General features: G+C 34.3%; 1 protein-coding gene across 4 annotated transcripts in view; it reads right to left on the reverse strand.

The window, feature by feature from the left end:
- TC2N (tandem C2 domains, nuclear) overlaps positions 1-15,765 on the reverse strand; it is an 87,791-nt gene that overhangs the window by 27,221 nt on the left and 44,805 nt on the right. For all 4 annotated transcript variants that reach the window (NM_001128596.3, NM_001289134.2, NM_001128595.3 and 1 more), the window contains exons 2-3: positions 6,737-6,859; positions 5,346-5,579 (exon numbers count right to left, since the gene is read on the reverse strand). In NM_001128596.3, coding sequence (NP_001122068.2) covers positions 5,346-5,579; positions 6,737-6,803 — 301 coding nt within the window. In that variant the 5' untranslated portion in view covers positions 6,804-6,859. The remainder of the gene's footprint in view (positions 1-5,345; positions 5,580-6,736; positions 6,860-15,765) is intronic.

Here is a 15,765-nt window from a genome sequence, read left to right on the forward strand (position 1 = left end):
GGTGCCCTGCATCCCAGTTGCTCTAGCAATGGCTAAAGGGGCCAAGGTACAGCTTGGGCCATGGCTTCAGAGGGTGGAAGCCCCAAGTCTTGGCAGCTTCCACATGGTTGAGCCTGCAGGTGCATAGAAGTCACAAGAATTGAGGTTTGGGAACCTCCTCCTAGATTTCAGAGGATGTAAGGAAATGCCTGGATGTCCAGGCAAACGTTTGCTGCAGAGGTGGGGCCCTCATGGAGAACCTCTGCTAGGGCAGTATGGAAGGGAAATGTGGAGTTGAAGCCCCCACAGAGTCTCCACTGGGGCACTGCCTAGTAGAGCTGTGAGAAGAAGGCCACCATCCTCCAGACCCCAGAATGGTAGATCCACCAACAGTTTGCATTGTGCACCTGGAAAAGCCACAGATACTCAACACCAGCCCGTGAAAGCAGCTAGGAGGGAAGCTGTACCTTGCAAAGCCACAGGGGTGGAGCTGCCCAAGACCATGGTAACCCACCTCTTGCATTAGCATGACCTGGATGCGAGACATGGAGTCAAAGGTTATCATTCTGGAGCTTTAAGATTTGACTGCCCTGCTGGATTGTGGACTTGCATGGGGCCCTTAGCCCCTTCATTTCAGCCAATTTATCCCATTTGGAATGGGTGTATTTATCCAATGTCTATACTCCTATTGTATCTAGGAAGTAATTAACTTTTGATTTTGCAGGCTCATAGGCGGAAGGGACTTGCTTTGTCTCAGATGAGACTTTGAATTGTGGACTTTTGAGTTCATGCTGAAATGAGTTAAGACTTTGGGGGACTGTTGGGAAGGCATAATTGGTTTTGAAATGTGAGGATGTGAGACTTGGGAGGGGCCAGGGGCAGAATGGTATGGTTTGGCTGTGTCCCCACCCAAATCTCATCTTGAATTGTAGCTCCCCTAATTCCCACATGTTGTGGGAGACACCTGGTAGGAGATAATTGAATCATAGGGGCAGTTTCTCCCATACTGTTCTTGTGATAGTGAATAAGTCTCAGATCTGATGGTTTTATAAGGGGTTTCCCCTTTTGCTTGGCTCTCATTGTCTCTTACCTGCTGCCATGTAAGACATGCCTTTCACCTTCTGCCATGATTGTCAGGCCTTCCCAGCCACATGGAACTGTGATTCCATTAAACCTCTTTTTCATCATAAATTACCCAGTCTCAGGTATGTATTCATCAGCAGCGTGAGAACAGACTAATACAAGGTGTATCATCTTTTAACTTTTATACCATATTTTTACTGTACTGAATACTGTATTTAGTATAGTATACAGCATAGTAACATATTGTATAGGTTTGTAGCCTAGGAGAAATATGGTATCCATATAGCCTAAGTGTTTAGTAGGCTACACCATCTAGGTTTGTGTAAGTGCCTCTACACTGTCCATGCAATTATAAGATAGCTTAACAACAACATTTCTCAGAACATATCGCCATTGTTAAATGATTCCTGACTGTGCTTGCAACACAATTTTAGTCATTATTGATAGCAGTCTGCTCTATTCACTCAAAATCTTCTCTTTTCTCAACCCATCATTCACGTGCATACATACATACACATATTTAACTTCTTTAATTAGGTACCACCTTACTTTCTTGACTCTAATAAAAGTAATTTTCTCTTTAATATATACAAATCAGATGGTTTTACCACTTCTTCAGTGAACCTATAATTTAGGAGTTAACCAATTTCTTCCTCATTCAACTCAAAAAGCAATGTTTTCTAGTGAGCACAATGTCAAGAACATAAGAAAAACTATCACATATTTCCAGGTGGATATTTCTTACCTTTTTTCTGATTATGAAAATAATAGAGTAAAAACTCAAAATTATTTAAGAATAGAAAATTCATTAAAAAAATTACAGTATGTCCATATGAAGAAATACTATGTATTCATCAAAAAGCAACAAATATGAAATGTTCACAACATATTATGTGGATGAAACAACTTACAAGGCTGCATGGTTTAATCCCAATGTTGTTAATAAGTATGAAAAAAAAAGAGAAAGATCAATTGATTGGGTATTCTGTAAGCCAGAACTTTTTAAAACTATTTTTGAGAAACACTATTGATATGCGCAAAGTAAGATGATAGGCCAGGCACTAGGTTCATCTTTTCTTTTCTCTAAAAAATTAAAATTGGGCCAGGCATGGTAGCTCACGTCTGTAATCCCAGCAATTTGGGAGCCCAAGGTGGGTGGAATGCTTGAGAATAGGAGTTCAAGACCAGCCTGGCCAACATGATGAAACCCCATCTCTATAAATACAAAAACTAGCTGGGTGTGGTGGTGTGCACCTGTAGTCCTAGTTACTCAGGAGGCTGAGGCATGAGAATTGTTTGAACACAGGAGATGGAGGCTGCAGTAAGCCAAAACCATGCCACTGCACTCCAGCCTGGGCAACAGAGTGAGACTCTGTCTCAAAAAAACAAATTTTAATTTAAAATTTAAAAAATCACTCCTACCAGACCCAACTCTCTTGTAGGTAACAATAAACTCTAGACCAAAACTAAAACAAAGCAAGAAAATAAAAACCCTGAAGGCAATGAAGAGTAAAGAAAAGTAATACAGATCTGGACAGGAGTTGATTCTGGGGAAAAAGGTAATGGCACAAAGTGAGTTATCTGTTTTTAATGACTTTTAGCCTGAGTACACATCAAAGTTGGCAACACGCAGGGTATATAAAACCCCAATAGAAAACTCACAGTCTTTCTAGCCTGAAGAACCACAGGGTACAGTTCAAGAAAATCAGAGCTGCAGGAAAGTAAGGTGGGAATCCTGGAAAGGAGAGATTCCCAAATTCTGTAAATAAAGCCTTTTCAAATATCTGTCTCATCTCTGAACTACCACCCAAGAGCTGCCACCCAAGACAAAATCTGTAGTTTAAGTCCAACCAGTTTACTTGTCTGGTAGGAGGGAGGAAGAAAGAAAGGAAGGAAGGGAAGGAAGGTGTGTTAGTCTGTTTGTGCCACTATAAAGGAATATCTGAGGATGGGTAATTTATAAAGAAAAGCAGTTTCATTTGCTTGCTGTTTTGTAGTGTGTACAGGAAGCATGGTGCCAGCATCTGCTTCTAATCAGGGACTCAGGAAGCTTACAATCATGGCAGAAGGCAAAAAGAGAACAGGCACATCACACGGCAACAGCAGGAGCAAGAGATGGGCAGTGGAGGTGCCAGGCTCTTTTAAACAACCAGATCTCACAGGAACTCAGAGCTAGAACTCACTTATCACCAAGGAGATGGTGCTAAGCCATACATGAGGGATCTGCCCCCATGATCCAAACACCTCCCACCAGGCCCCACCTCCAACATTGGGAATCACATGAATTTGGCGGGGCCAAACATCCAAACCATATCAGGAGGGAAAGGAGAAAGGGAAGGAGGAAGGGAGGGATGAAAGAAGAGAAGTAGGAAGGGAGGATGGGAGAAAGGGAGGAAAGAAGGAACCTTTTCAGAAGAATGTAACTGAATCTAGAGTCTCCACAACATAACATTCAATATTTTTGATATTGATATCAAGAATACAACCCCAAATTACTCCATATACAAAGAAACAGGAAAATGTGATCTATTTTCAAGAAAAAAGACAATCCACAGAATCCAAACCTAGATGATCAAGATGCTGAAATCACCAGATAAAGATTTTAAAGCTTAAAAACATAAAAGAAAATAGGTTTGCAATACTGTAAAAATAAGAAATTGCAGTAGAGGAAATCTATAACAAAGAACCAAATGTAAACTCTAGAACTAAAAAATGCAATGTCTAAAATAAAAAATTCATGAATAGGCTTAACAGCAGGCTAAAGATAACAGACGAGACAGTGAACTTGAAAAAAAGATCAATATTATTGAATCTAAAGAACAGAGAAAAAAAGATACTTGAAAAAAAAAAGTCTCAGAGACCCATAGAACAATATCAAAAGGTTCAACATAGGTATAATCGGAATCCCAGAAGCAGAAAAGAGAGGGGATAAGACAAAAAATATTTGGACAAATATTGTAGATCTTGATAGAGATTTGGATTACACTGACATATACTTTTGTCAATATTCAACAAATATACACTTAAAATTCAACAAATACACACAAAATTCTACAAATACTCACTTGGGCAGCTCACTGTGTGTAAAATTTATGCCAAAAGAAGAAAACTGTAAAGAGATCGTTGAACCCAGTAAATGATATATATGTTTAAGTGTTTGCAAGGAAATATATTGGTGTCTTCAATTTACTCTGAAATTCATTCCTCTCCAAAAAGTGGATTAATAATGGATAGAAGAATGGATAGGTAGACAGATATTTGCTAAAGCAAGTATAGTAAGTAATCTTAATGGCAGAATTTATGTGGTGGACATACAGGTCTTCACTATTAAGTTTTTTTTTTATTTTCCTGTATGTTTGAAATTTTTCTAATAAAATTTTGAGGGTAAAAAAGCTATTGTGACTTACAGTGTTTCAATGGACTAATACAAATTGTTTTTTAAAAAAACAAGACAAGAGCTACATGTTGTTTCATCTTCTCTCTAATAATTTGGCTTCTACATCAGCCAAATTCTGCCAATGGATCTACCTCATTCAAGTAACTATTTAGACTGGGAAGTACAACCTGGTAGAAGAAAGAAGAGAAGGAAAAGTGATTACTAACCAAATATTAGAAATTAATAAATAAGAAACATGTTTTCTACATTTACTAACTCCTTTACTTTTTCATTCTAGACATGTGACGGATAACTGAGGTATTCTAATTACAGTTATCCCTCAGTATATGTGGGGGATTGGTTCCAGCCCTCTATGGATACCAAAATCCATGGATGCTCAAGTCCCTTATATAAATGGTGTAGTATTTGCACATAACCTATGCACATCCTCCCATATGCTTTAAATCATCTCTTGATTACTTATAATACCTAACGCAATGTAAATGCTACTGAGATAGTTGTCATATTGTATTGTTCAGGGAAAAAATGACAAGAAAAAAGTCTGCACATGTTCAGTACAGATGCAATCATTCTTTTTTTTTTTCTGAATATTTTTGAGGTGCAGTTGGTTAAATCCACAGATGTGGAACCCAAAGATATGGAGGGCCAATTACATATTATTTCTTGAAAAAAGGCCAATTCTACATACAAATTATTGTATTATGATCAGATTTCAAAATGGGACCTTTCAAAACTACTGTACATTAAGTTCTTCTACAGAAAGAGCAAAATATAAAAAGTAAAATAAAAAAATTTTATATGAATTTTGTATTAAAAATATAAAAGTAAAATAATAGCACTTAAATGCTACATATCGATTTTTAAATACTGCTATTTTATTGTTTACCTTCAAGTTCTTCCAGATGTGAAGGAGTTTCTTGTGTCCTGGGTTGAATGTAAGATAACTTAAACTTGGGCACCACAAATGGTACTTCTTTGCCATCAGATGGTAATTTGGAAAGCAAATAATCCTCAGTACAGCCAAGCTGAGGCTTTACAGAAACAGAAGTCAATGGAGGTACAGAGATAGTAGCATTTTGACTATTTGGGACTGCTGCTTTAAAATCTCTTTCCACAGAAACTGCATATAAAAGAAAAAAAAAGTCACAAATATGAATATAGGTTACATATAATAATCTAAACCTAGCATACTTTGATATTTATTTAACCATTTTAGAAGAAATTCCTGACACATAAACTACTCTTGGGTCTTACCAAACACTTCTGGAATCTACATTAATTTTGTCCAGACGATATTTGAGCAATTAATACACTACTGTTAAAGTGCATTAACTTATCATAATGGTAAAAGCAGCTTTAAAGAGTCTTATTCCCAAAAGAATTCATAGATGGAAAACAATTTTATTTTGTAGTCAGTTATATAGTGCTTTCAAGTAAAAATCTAGTCATTTAAAACTACTGTCAACAAAAGCAATTCTTTTGTTGCTGGCAGCTACCCCAGTCGTAGCTTCTATGACCCATTTTATTCATTCTTTAGAATCATATGTGATTCCTAAGCTACATGATTTAAGATGGGAGGTAAGTTATTCTTTATATATATATAATGCTATCTGTAGACTGAAAGTACAAGTACTATTCTGTAGAAATTTATGAAATGTTTTAATGTAAAAAAGAAGGCTTCATACTCAAATATACTATGAAGCTCTGCTGTAGATTAGGAAATAAAAGTGCCAGAGAAGAGATAAGGGAGCCATGCAATAGAAAAAGAACTCTCCAGGGGTCCTTAATAAATGTGAGTCTTCATAGTTATGAGTCTCTTCCCCATTGGTCATTCATTCATTCAAGGCATTTTTAATGTTATACACATATTGTAGATTGTCTTTATTTAAATCAAAACATTGGTCAGAATATGTTGTCTCCCAAACATACTTCTCTTCCCTCCCTGTCTTTGCCTGTACTATTTCATCCACCTGTAATGCCCATGTCCAATTTTCAGTTTCTCTTCCTTCTTCCCACCCAACTTGCTAAAATCCTATTCAGATTTCCATAGCAAATGCAATTTTCTTTATGGTAATATCTTACGAATCCCCTGGGTTGAATTACTCTCTCTCTCCCCTATGCTCCAGACTACTTGAAGTTATGGAATATTTACTTAGTGTGCCTTATGTTTCTGCCTCCCCTAAGAAGTTGGAAAACATGCCTAATTCTTTATATTACAAAATGCCACAAATGAAGAAGATGCTACATAAATGTTACTGAAGTCAAAATAAAACTCACAGTTGTGTTTTTCTGTTTCACCATAGAAACATCCTCCACAGCAACTCTTTATAAATTCTGTTGCCATTACATTCAATTTCCAATATCCAGCAAAAGACACAAACTTCCAATCTTAATATTAATCTGTTGGTAGAATAGAAAACAAGTTAACCTGCTTGTCATGCTTAATACCATTAGATATTACTAAATAAACCACATTATCTGTCTTTCTAAGACATAATGAGGATTCTGAAGCAAAAATACTTGAGGAAGATAGATTTTTGTAACCATATGAAATTCTGTATAACTTATTTGTAAGTTATTAAAATTATGTTTAAAAATTACTAAATGAACAATCTCAATGTTAAAATCTGGAAAAAAAAAGAAAAATTCCATTCTTAATTTTCTTTCACGAAAAATAAGATGGAAGATTGAGTGAAGAGATATAGAGTAACAAGAGGGGTGTGTTTATGAGAGAGAGAGAGAGAGAAGGGACAGTGTGGAAAAAGAAGAGCAACATGGAAGAAATACAGAAAAACAAAGAAAAAAAGAGAGAAAGAAGAAAAAAGAAAGAGGTAAACTAGGACATGTGCTGATAAAACAGCAAGAAACCTAAGACAAGAGCACATAGAATTAGGAAGAAATGTTTGGGAAGGGAGATGAAAAGGGAAAGGTCAAAAAAAAAAAAAGTCAAGGGCAAACCTAGAAATAGAGAGTGGAGACTAGACAGCAGGAGAGACAGAGTGAGCTGAGGCACAGAGAGAGAAAAGAAATAAAGAGGAGAAGAGTAGAATGAAGCGGAGAGAGAGGGAAGGAGAAATGAAGATGACAGCAAGATGAGAAGTATAAAAGGGCAGACAAATCAAAGAAAAAGAAGGATGGAGAAAGAGGTAAGAAAAGGAGAGGGGAAAACACAAAATGTAAAAGAAAAGAGATGAAAAGAAAAAACATTCAAAGAAACAGTGAAAGTTAGAAACTGAAAAAAGGAGGAAAGATGAGAAAAGGGGAAAAAGATTGAGATAGAGAAGCAGAGTGAATTTAGGAACATTGGTCAAAGAATACAAAATTAGTTTTGATAAGAGAAATAGGTTGAATAGCATTACTCCATGTGAATATAGCTAATGAAGATCTGCAGTACTCTTGAGAGATGCTAAGGCTGGATGTTTACTGTTCTCTCCACAAAAATAACTATGTCAGGTAATGCAGATGTAAGCTAGATTTAATCATTTCACAATGTATAGGCACTTCAAAACATCACATTGTATACAATAAATACATACAATTTGTTCAATTTGAAAAGTAAAGAAAAAGCATATTTAAAAAAAAGTAAAGAGTGGTAAAGGAGACAGGGTTAGAGAGGTAGGAGAACACAGGGATAAATAAAAACAGACTAGGAGAAATGGAGATGAAATTAAAAAGCTGATAAAGAAACTAAGTATCTTAAAGGAAAGTTTATTCATTATTATACTCTAATAAATACACATATAGTATAACTAAAACAATTTTTCTCTTTCACCTGATCTATCTAAATCTATGTTCAAGCAAAAGTTAAAAGAAAACATGGCACCCCATAAAAAGTGTGAGAAAACATTCACTTCCTCCAGATCAATTATTCTGGTAATTCAAAGGCCCTATAATGGGCACCAATAAACAAATAAACTGCATACTTCATGAATTATTTTAATCTTTAGAGTTATACTAATAGAAAAGTATACCTTAAGCACTACATCACATACACACAAAAAGACACCACAAATAAGATATAGAGCAAATAAAGGAAGTCTATTTTACATTTACCAGGAAATTAAATTGTATAAGAACTTCATGTCCAATTTCCTATTGTCCTTGGTCTCAGTGCCTTTGTTCTAAATGCACTGCCTTCATTTATGCCTACTTAAACTCCATACGTTTTTCACAGGAGGTTTTAAACATATGCGAAGAAGTATAACAAAACCCTAATCACTCAGATTAAAATAATTATCAACTCATGGCAAATCTTATTTCATCTCTGCCTCCCCATATACCCTGTCCTTTGGATTATTTTGAAATAAATTCTAATCATATAATTTCATCCATAAACACATAAATAATGATCTCCAAAAGATGTGGCAAAGGACTTAGGAGTTAACTTCAAGGGGCTCTCACTGGCTGAAGGTGAATCATTTCAAGTATTAATACAAACAGTATCTGTAATGAATGGTAACATATCAAACATTTCTAAAATGTTGCTCTTTTTAAACATAACCATAATAGTATTATCATGTGTAAAATAATTAATGTCATCAACTACTTGTTCACTGTTCAAATTTCCCCTATGGTCTCAATTTGTATAGTTGTTTTGTTGAAATTCAGATCAAATTTTAAATTGTTTCATCTTTTGTTATTAGAAGTAGTGCCACAGTAGCTTTGTGCACACATATTTCTCAGATATTTCTCAGTATATATCTGTAAGATAGATTCCTAGAGATAAGACTATGGGGCCAAAAGGTGTATATGTGTAATTTTGCTTGTATTGCCAAAATTCTCTCTGAAGCACACCATTTTGCATTCCCAATAGCAATATGTAAGAGTACCTTTTTCTGTTACCAACAAAATACACTGTCAAACTGATGCTTAATACCATGGACTTTTGCCAGTGTGATAGGAAAGAAATGATATACTGTGTTGTTTTAATTTATATCTCTCTTATTATAAGTGATGTTGAGCTTCTTGTCATATAAGATTAATCTGTAATTGTTTATATGAATTCTATTCACTGTCTCCTGCCGACATTTTCATAAAGCTGTTGGTCTTTTTCTTCTCCAGTTTTTGAAGCTCTTTAGATATTTGAGAGATTAACACTTTGTCCATTATACAAGTGGCAAACATCCTTCTGGTTTGTCATTTATCTTTTTACTTTGATTATGGTGTTTCTGCTATGCCAAAGTGTGTGTGTTATACAAATCATAAAATAATTTACCCATGTTTTCTTCCAGTACTTAGTACAGTATTATTTTCTATACTGACATCCTGTTATACAGTATGAGAAATGGATTCAAACTTTCCTCTTCCCAATTCGCTATCTCATTAGCACAAACACCACATATTAAAAATTCCATATTTTCTCCACTTACAGGATGCTCCCTTTAGTACACATTAAATTTCCATATGCAATTGGGTTTATTGTGTATTTTCTATTCTCTTCAATTGTTCTGTCTATTCCTGTACCAATGGTATATCATTTTAATCTTAAATTCTTATATCATGTTATAACATGTAGCAAGACAAGTCATCTTTACCCCTCTTCACTTTCTGCATTTTCTTAGCTATTCTTGCTTGTCTGTTCTCGAAAATGAACTTTATAATCTGTCTAGCCCTAGGAGGAAAAATCTGATGGTACTTTCATCAGGATCATATTAAACTTCTAAATTATTTTTTTAAAACTGACATCTCTAAGAATATTGAGTCTTCCTACACAGAACATAGTATATCTTTATATTTGTTCAAGTTTATGCTTATACCTTTAGGAGTTTTTAGAGTTCTCATAAAAATTCTGAAGATTTCTCATTAAGTGTATGCCTGTATAATTTGCTTGGCTATCATAAATGGTATCTTCTCTTCCATTACATCTTGTGACTATTTCCATTTTTAAAATGTATGCGTTTTCAAAGGCCCTGTTCAGCCCCAGCATATCAGAGTAAAATACTCCGTAACCACCCAAATCAAACGAATAGTCTCTCATCTCTAAATGTCTAGTGTCTTTAAAAAAAAAAAGTTTAACATTTTTCTTAACATTTTATGAGATCTTGTTCTGTCTCCCCTGTTAGAACATAAACTGCTCAAAAACAATATTGTACTCACTTTCTGCTTAGCACTCAGCACACTACATGATGCTGGGAATATAATTGGAACTCAGCAAATACCTAGTTGATAGATAAGGAAACAAAGTACAACTATCTCCCATAAAAACTAAGAATATATTCATCAAACCACATCTCTGACCCCAATCAGTTTGCAAATATTTAACATTAACCATGACAGGAATGTGGTAGAATTGGTTAAAAATGACTGCTACTTCAGGGGGAAAAGTCCTCAACATTGATGGCCTTGAGTCATCCAAAATGAGTTGGGGAAGATGGAGGAAGGTAGTAGAAAGAGAGAAAAGTTTATATGAATGAAATGTGAAATCTAATTAAAATGAACACCCAGTAATACACTACAGGAAAGACAGTTAAAAAACACATGGATATTTTACTTTTGTACAAAATAGAGTAACAGAGACAGATTTATCCTACCACCTGAAAAGCAAATAAAATATATGGAACAGCAATTTTCAAGACACTGGCTATCAGACAGCAAAGAACTGAGAAATAGGAACTAAATGAGGTAAGCCTTCCACCTTACTCCCTTGAGGGAGTTTCCAGGCCATGGGAAATTACCCAAGCAAAGCCGAGAAGATTTTCTGAAATGAAGAGACAAAGCTGAAAGTATGTGGAGAATAAGGCAGCGAGAGTTTGCATAACAGACTACTGTAGAATAAAGAGGTACATACAGAGAACAATGGAGATCAGCAGAGGGTCCCACTCAAGTATTCAACAGAGTACTGATCAGCACACACACAAAAAAAGGAAGCTACACAAGACTGCGGGAAAAAAACACCAGAAAAATTTACAAAAACTATACATAACTGGTATTCACCAAGGTCAGGAGTGATGCTTGTCCCCACAAATCAGACTGGAAAAGGGATCAAATTGTTTACACAAAACTTAACTGTGTCCCAAAGCAAATTTACAGAAATCCAAAAATATCCAGCATTCAAGGTAAAACTCACAATGTCTGGTATTCAATTAAAAAAAGTACCAGGTATACAAGGAAGCAAAAAAATATATAGAACCCATAATGAAGAGGAAAAAAAAATCAATCAATTAGAAACAACCTAAAATTGAGACAAGGCAGTTGAGGACACTAAAATAGTTATAGCTGGACTCAATATGTTCAAAAGGTTAAGTAGAGATATGGACGATATTAAAAAGACCCAAATCCAATTTCTAGAGATGAAAACTATAATGTCTGAGATGGAAAATATACTGGATGGGATTAATACCAGATTGGATATTGCAAAAGAAAATATTAATGAACTTGAAGGCATAGTAAGATAAACTAACTAAAATGAGACACAGAGAAAAGACTAACATCAAAATGATAAAAAGCATCTGTGACTCATGGGACAATTTCAAGTGACCCAAAATACATGTATTTGGAGTCCACAAAGAAGACTGGGGATAGGGGGGAGGGCATATTTGAAGAAATAATGGCCAAAATTTTCCAAACTTGATAACTACAAACCACAGATCTAAGAACCTCCGCCAACACTAAGGTCAGGAAACATGAAGAAAACTACACCAATGCACACCACGCCATAATAACATCATTCAAAAACAGTGATGGGAAAATCTTAAAAGCACCCAGAGAAAAAAGACATGTTATGTACATCAAAGCAAAGATTAAGAATAGCAGCATATAGTTGAGCATGGTGGTGTGTGCTTGTAATCCCAGCTACTCGGGAGGCTGAGGCATAAGAATCACTTGAATCTGGGAGGCAGAGGCTGCAATAAGCTGAGATCATGCCACTGCACTCCAGCCTGGGTGACACAGAGAGACTCTGTCTCAAAAAATTAATTAATTAATTAAAAAGGATAGTAGCATAGCTCTCAATGGAAACAAAACAAAAACAGTAGAGCAAGATCTTTAATGTACTGAAAGAAAAAAACCCATCAACCTAGAATTTGACACTCAGAGAAAATCTTTCAAAAATGTAGGTGACATAAAGACTTCTTCAGACATACAAAAGTTGAAAGAACATATTACCAACAGAGCTACACCACAAGAAGTGTTAAATGATGTCCTTCAGGCCAAAGGATAATATCTGATAGAAATATGAATCTACACAAAGGAATAAAGTGCACCATAAGTATAAATACATGATTTATTATTATTGGGATTTCTTTACAAGTTTATTAAAGCTTAGACAAAAAAATTATACTGAGACAAAAGGTTTGTAACATATGTAAAACTAAAATGTATTACATCAATAGCACAAAGGCCGGGGGAGAAATAAAAGTAAAAATGTAAATAATTATAGTATATGTGATGTGGTATCATATCATTTGAGGACTGACTGTAGAAAGTTAAAGATATATACTATAAACCCTAACACAACCACTAAAATAAGAAAACAGAGTTACAGCTTATAAGCCAACAAAGGAGATAAAATGGAATAATTTTAAAATACTCAATTAATAAAAGAAAGCAGAAAAAGAAAGGGGGAACAAAGAACAGATAGGATGAGTAGAAAACAAATAGCAAGATGATAGATTTGAACTTAATTATATCAAGAATCACAAGTGTGAATACTTTAAAATATGCCAATTAAAAGGCAGAAATTGCCAGACTGGATAAAGAAGTATGATACAAGTATATGCTGCCTACAAGAAACATTTTAAATACAAATAAGTTAAAAATAAAAGGATGGATACCCCTTGAGAACATACACCCAAAATCCTCAATGAAATACTGGCAAGCCAAATCCAGAAACGTATAAAAGATTTATGTATCATAACCAAGCAAGATTTATCCCAGGATTGCAAGATTAGTTTAACATCTGATAATCAATTCATGTAATGCATCATATTAACAGAATAAAGGACAAAAACTATAGGATAATCTCAATAGATACAAAAATTTGACAAAATCCAATATTCGTGATAAAAATACTGAGAATAGAAGAGAATCTTTCAACATAATAATAAACAGCATCTATGAAAAAATCTATAGTTAACATCACAGGAACTGGTGAAAGATTGAAAGTCTCCCTCTAAAGCCAGGAAAAAAAAAAAAGATTTCTACTCTCTCTACCTTTATTCAACACTATATTTGAGATTCTAGCTAAGCCAATTAGGCTAAAAATATTTTGTCAAAGGCATTCATCTTGGAAATCAAGAAGTAAAACACTCTTCATTCACAGACAACAAGATCTTGTAAATAAAAAAAAAAAATCTAAGAAATTCACTAACAAACTTACCAGAAGTTCACTAAGGTTGCAAGATATAAGAGAAATATACAAAAGTTAATTGCATTTCTATATACTAACCATGAACACTCCAAAAATGAAATAGAAAACAATTCCATTCATAATAACATTTTTAAAAACTTAAAATACAAATACTTTAAGAAATGAAGTACAAGACTTATACACTGCAAACCACAAGACATTACTGAAAGATATTAAAGAAGAGCTCAATACTTGTGAAGATATCCCATGTTCATGGATTGGAAGATGTAATATCATTAAAATGGTAATATTATTAATATTGCTAAGGTGGCAATACTCCCCAAATTGATCTACAGATTCAACACAATCTCTACCAAAATCCCTTCCAGCTTTTTTACAGAAATTGACAAGCTGATCCTAAAACTCATATGGGAACGTAAAGGGTGCAGAATAGCCAAAACAATCTTGGGGAAAAAAAAAGAACAAAGTGGAAAGACTAACTTCAAAATTTACTACAAAACTAGTCATCAGGACAATATAATATTAGTATAAGGACAGATAAATAAATCAATAGAATTAAATTCAGAGCCCAGAAATACACCCTTACATTTATAGTCAATTGATGTTTAACAAAGGTGCCAAGAAATTTTAAAGGGAAAGAAATAGTGTTTTCAACAAATGGTGCTAGGACACTGAATATCAATATTTATATCCACATTATATCCACATGCCCTTCCCACAAAAAAAAAAATTGGATCCCTGCCTCCCACCATATACAAAAACTAACTCAAAACTGATTATGCACCTATATGTAAGAGTTAAAACTTCAAAACTCTTAGAAGAAAACATAGGAGTAAATCTTTGTAAACTTGGGTTAGGCAGTAATTTCTTAGACACAACACCAAAAGCACACATGATCAAAGAAAAATTTGATGTACTAGATTTAATTGAAATTAAAAACTTTGTGCTTTAAAAGACACCATTAACAAAGTGAAAAGACCACTCGGAGACTGAGAGAAGATATTTGCATATCACACATCCAATAAAATATGGATTATATCCAGCATATATAAAAAACTATTACAACTTAATAATAAAAAGAAAAATAACCCAATTAAAAAATAGGCAAAAGATTTGAAAAGACACTTCTCCAAAAAAATCTACAAGTGGCCAAAAAGCACATGAAAACATGCTCAACACAGTTAGTGATTAGGAAAATGCAAATTAAAACTATAAAAAGACAACAATATACATTGATTAAAAAGGATAAAATTACAAAGATTGACCATTCCAAATGTTTATGATATGTGACAAGTAGTATTCTCCTATTCTACTGGTGGGACTGTAAAATGGCATGACCACTTTAGAAAACAGTTTGACAAGTTTCTAAAGTTGAACATATACCTGCTACATGATCCAGACATGCCATTACTACATATTTACTTAAGAAAAAAGCAATCACATGTTTACACAAAGAGTTGTACACTGGTGTTCATAGCAAATCTATTCAAAATAGCCAAAAATTGAAAACTATCAAGTATCTATCAACAGATTAATCCATTTAGAAAACAAACTGTGGCTCAATGGAACACTACTCAGAAATAAAGAAGTAAGCTGGTTAAACATGCAACAATATGGATGAATCTCAAAATAATTATGCTGGGCAAAAGAATGCCAACAAAAAGAGTATGTGCCATACAGATATGTGCCATATTCTCTTGCATTTGCTTTATTAATAACAAAGTCATATTTCAGTTCTTATTTTGTCTTTAATTTGGCTTTTCTAGCTATCTTATTAATACTGATTTGTAGCTGAACTCCACTGCATGATTCAATTTATATAAAATTGTAGAAAATGGAAATTAATCAATAGTAACAAAAAGTAGATCAGAGGCTGCCTCGGGACAGTGAGGAGTGGGGAGATGAAGCACAGAGAGGGACAGAAAGGAAGGACTTGGTGGGGCAGGAGGAAACTTTGGAGTGGGGGTAATATACTCATTATCTTTTTTTTTTTTTTTTT

This window comes from Homo sapiens, chromosome 14 (genome assembly GCF_000001405.40).
Source record: "Homo sapiens chromosome 14, GRCh38.p14 Primary Assembly".
Taxonomy (NCBI): domain Eukaryota; kingdom Metazoa; phylum Chordata; class Mammalia; order Primates; family Hominidae; genus Homo; species Homo sapiens.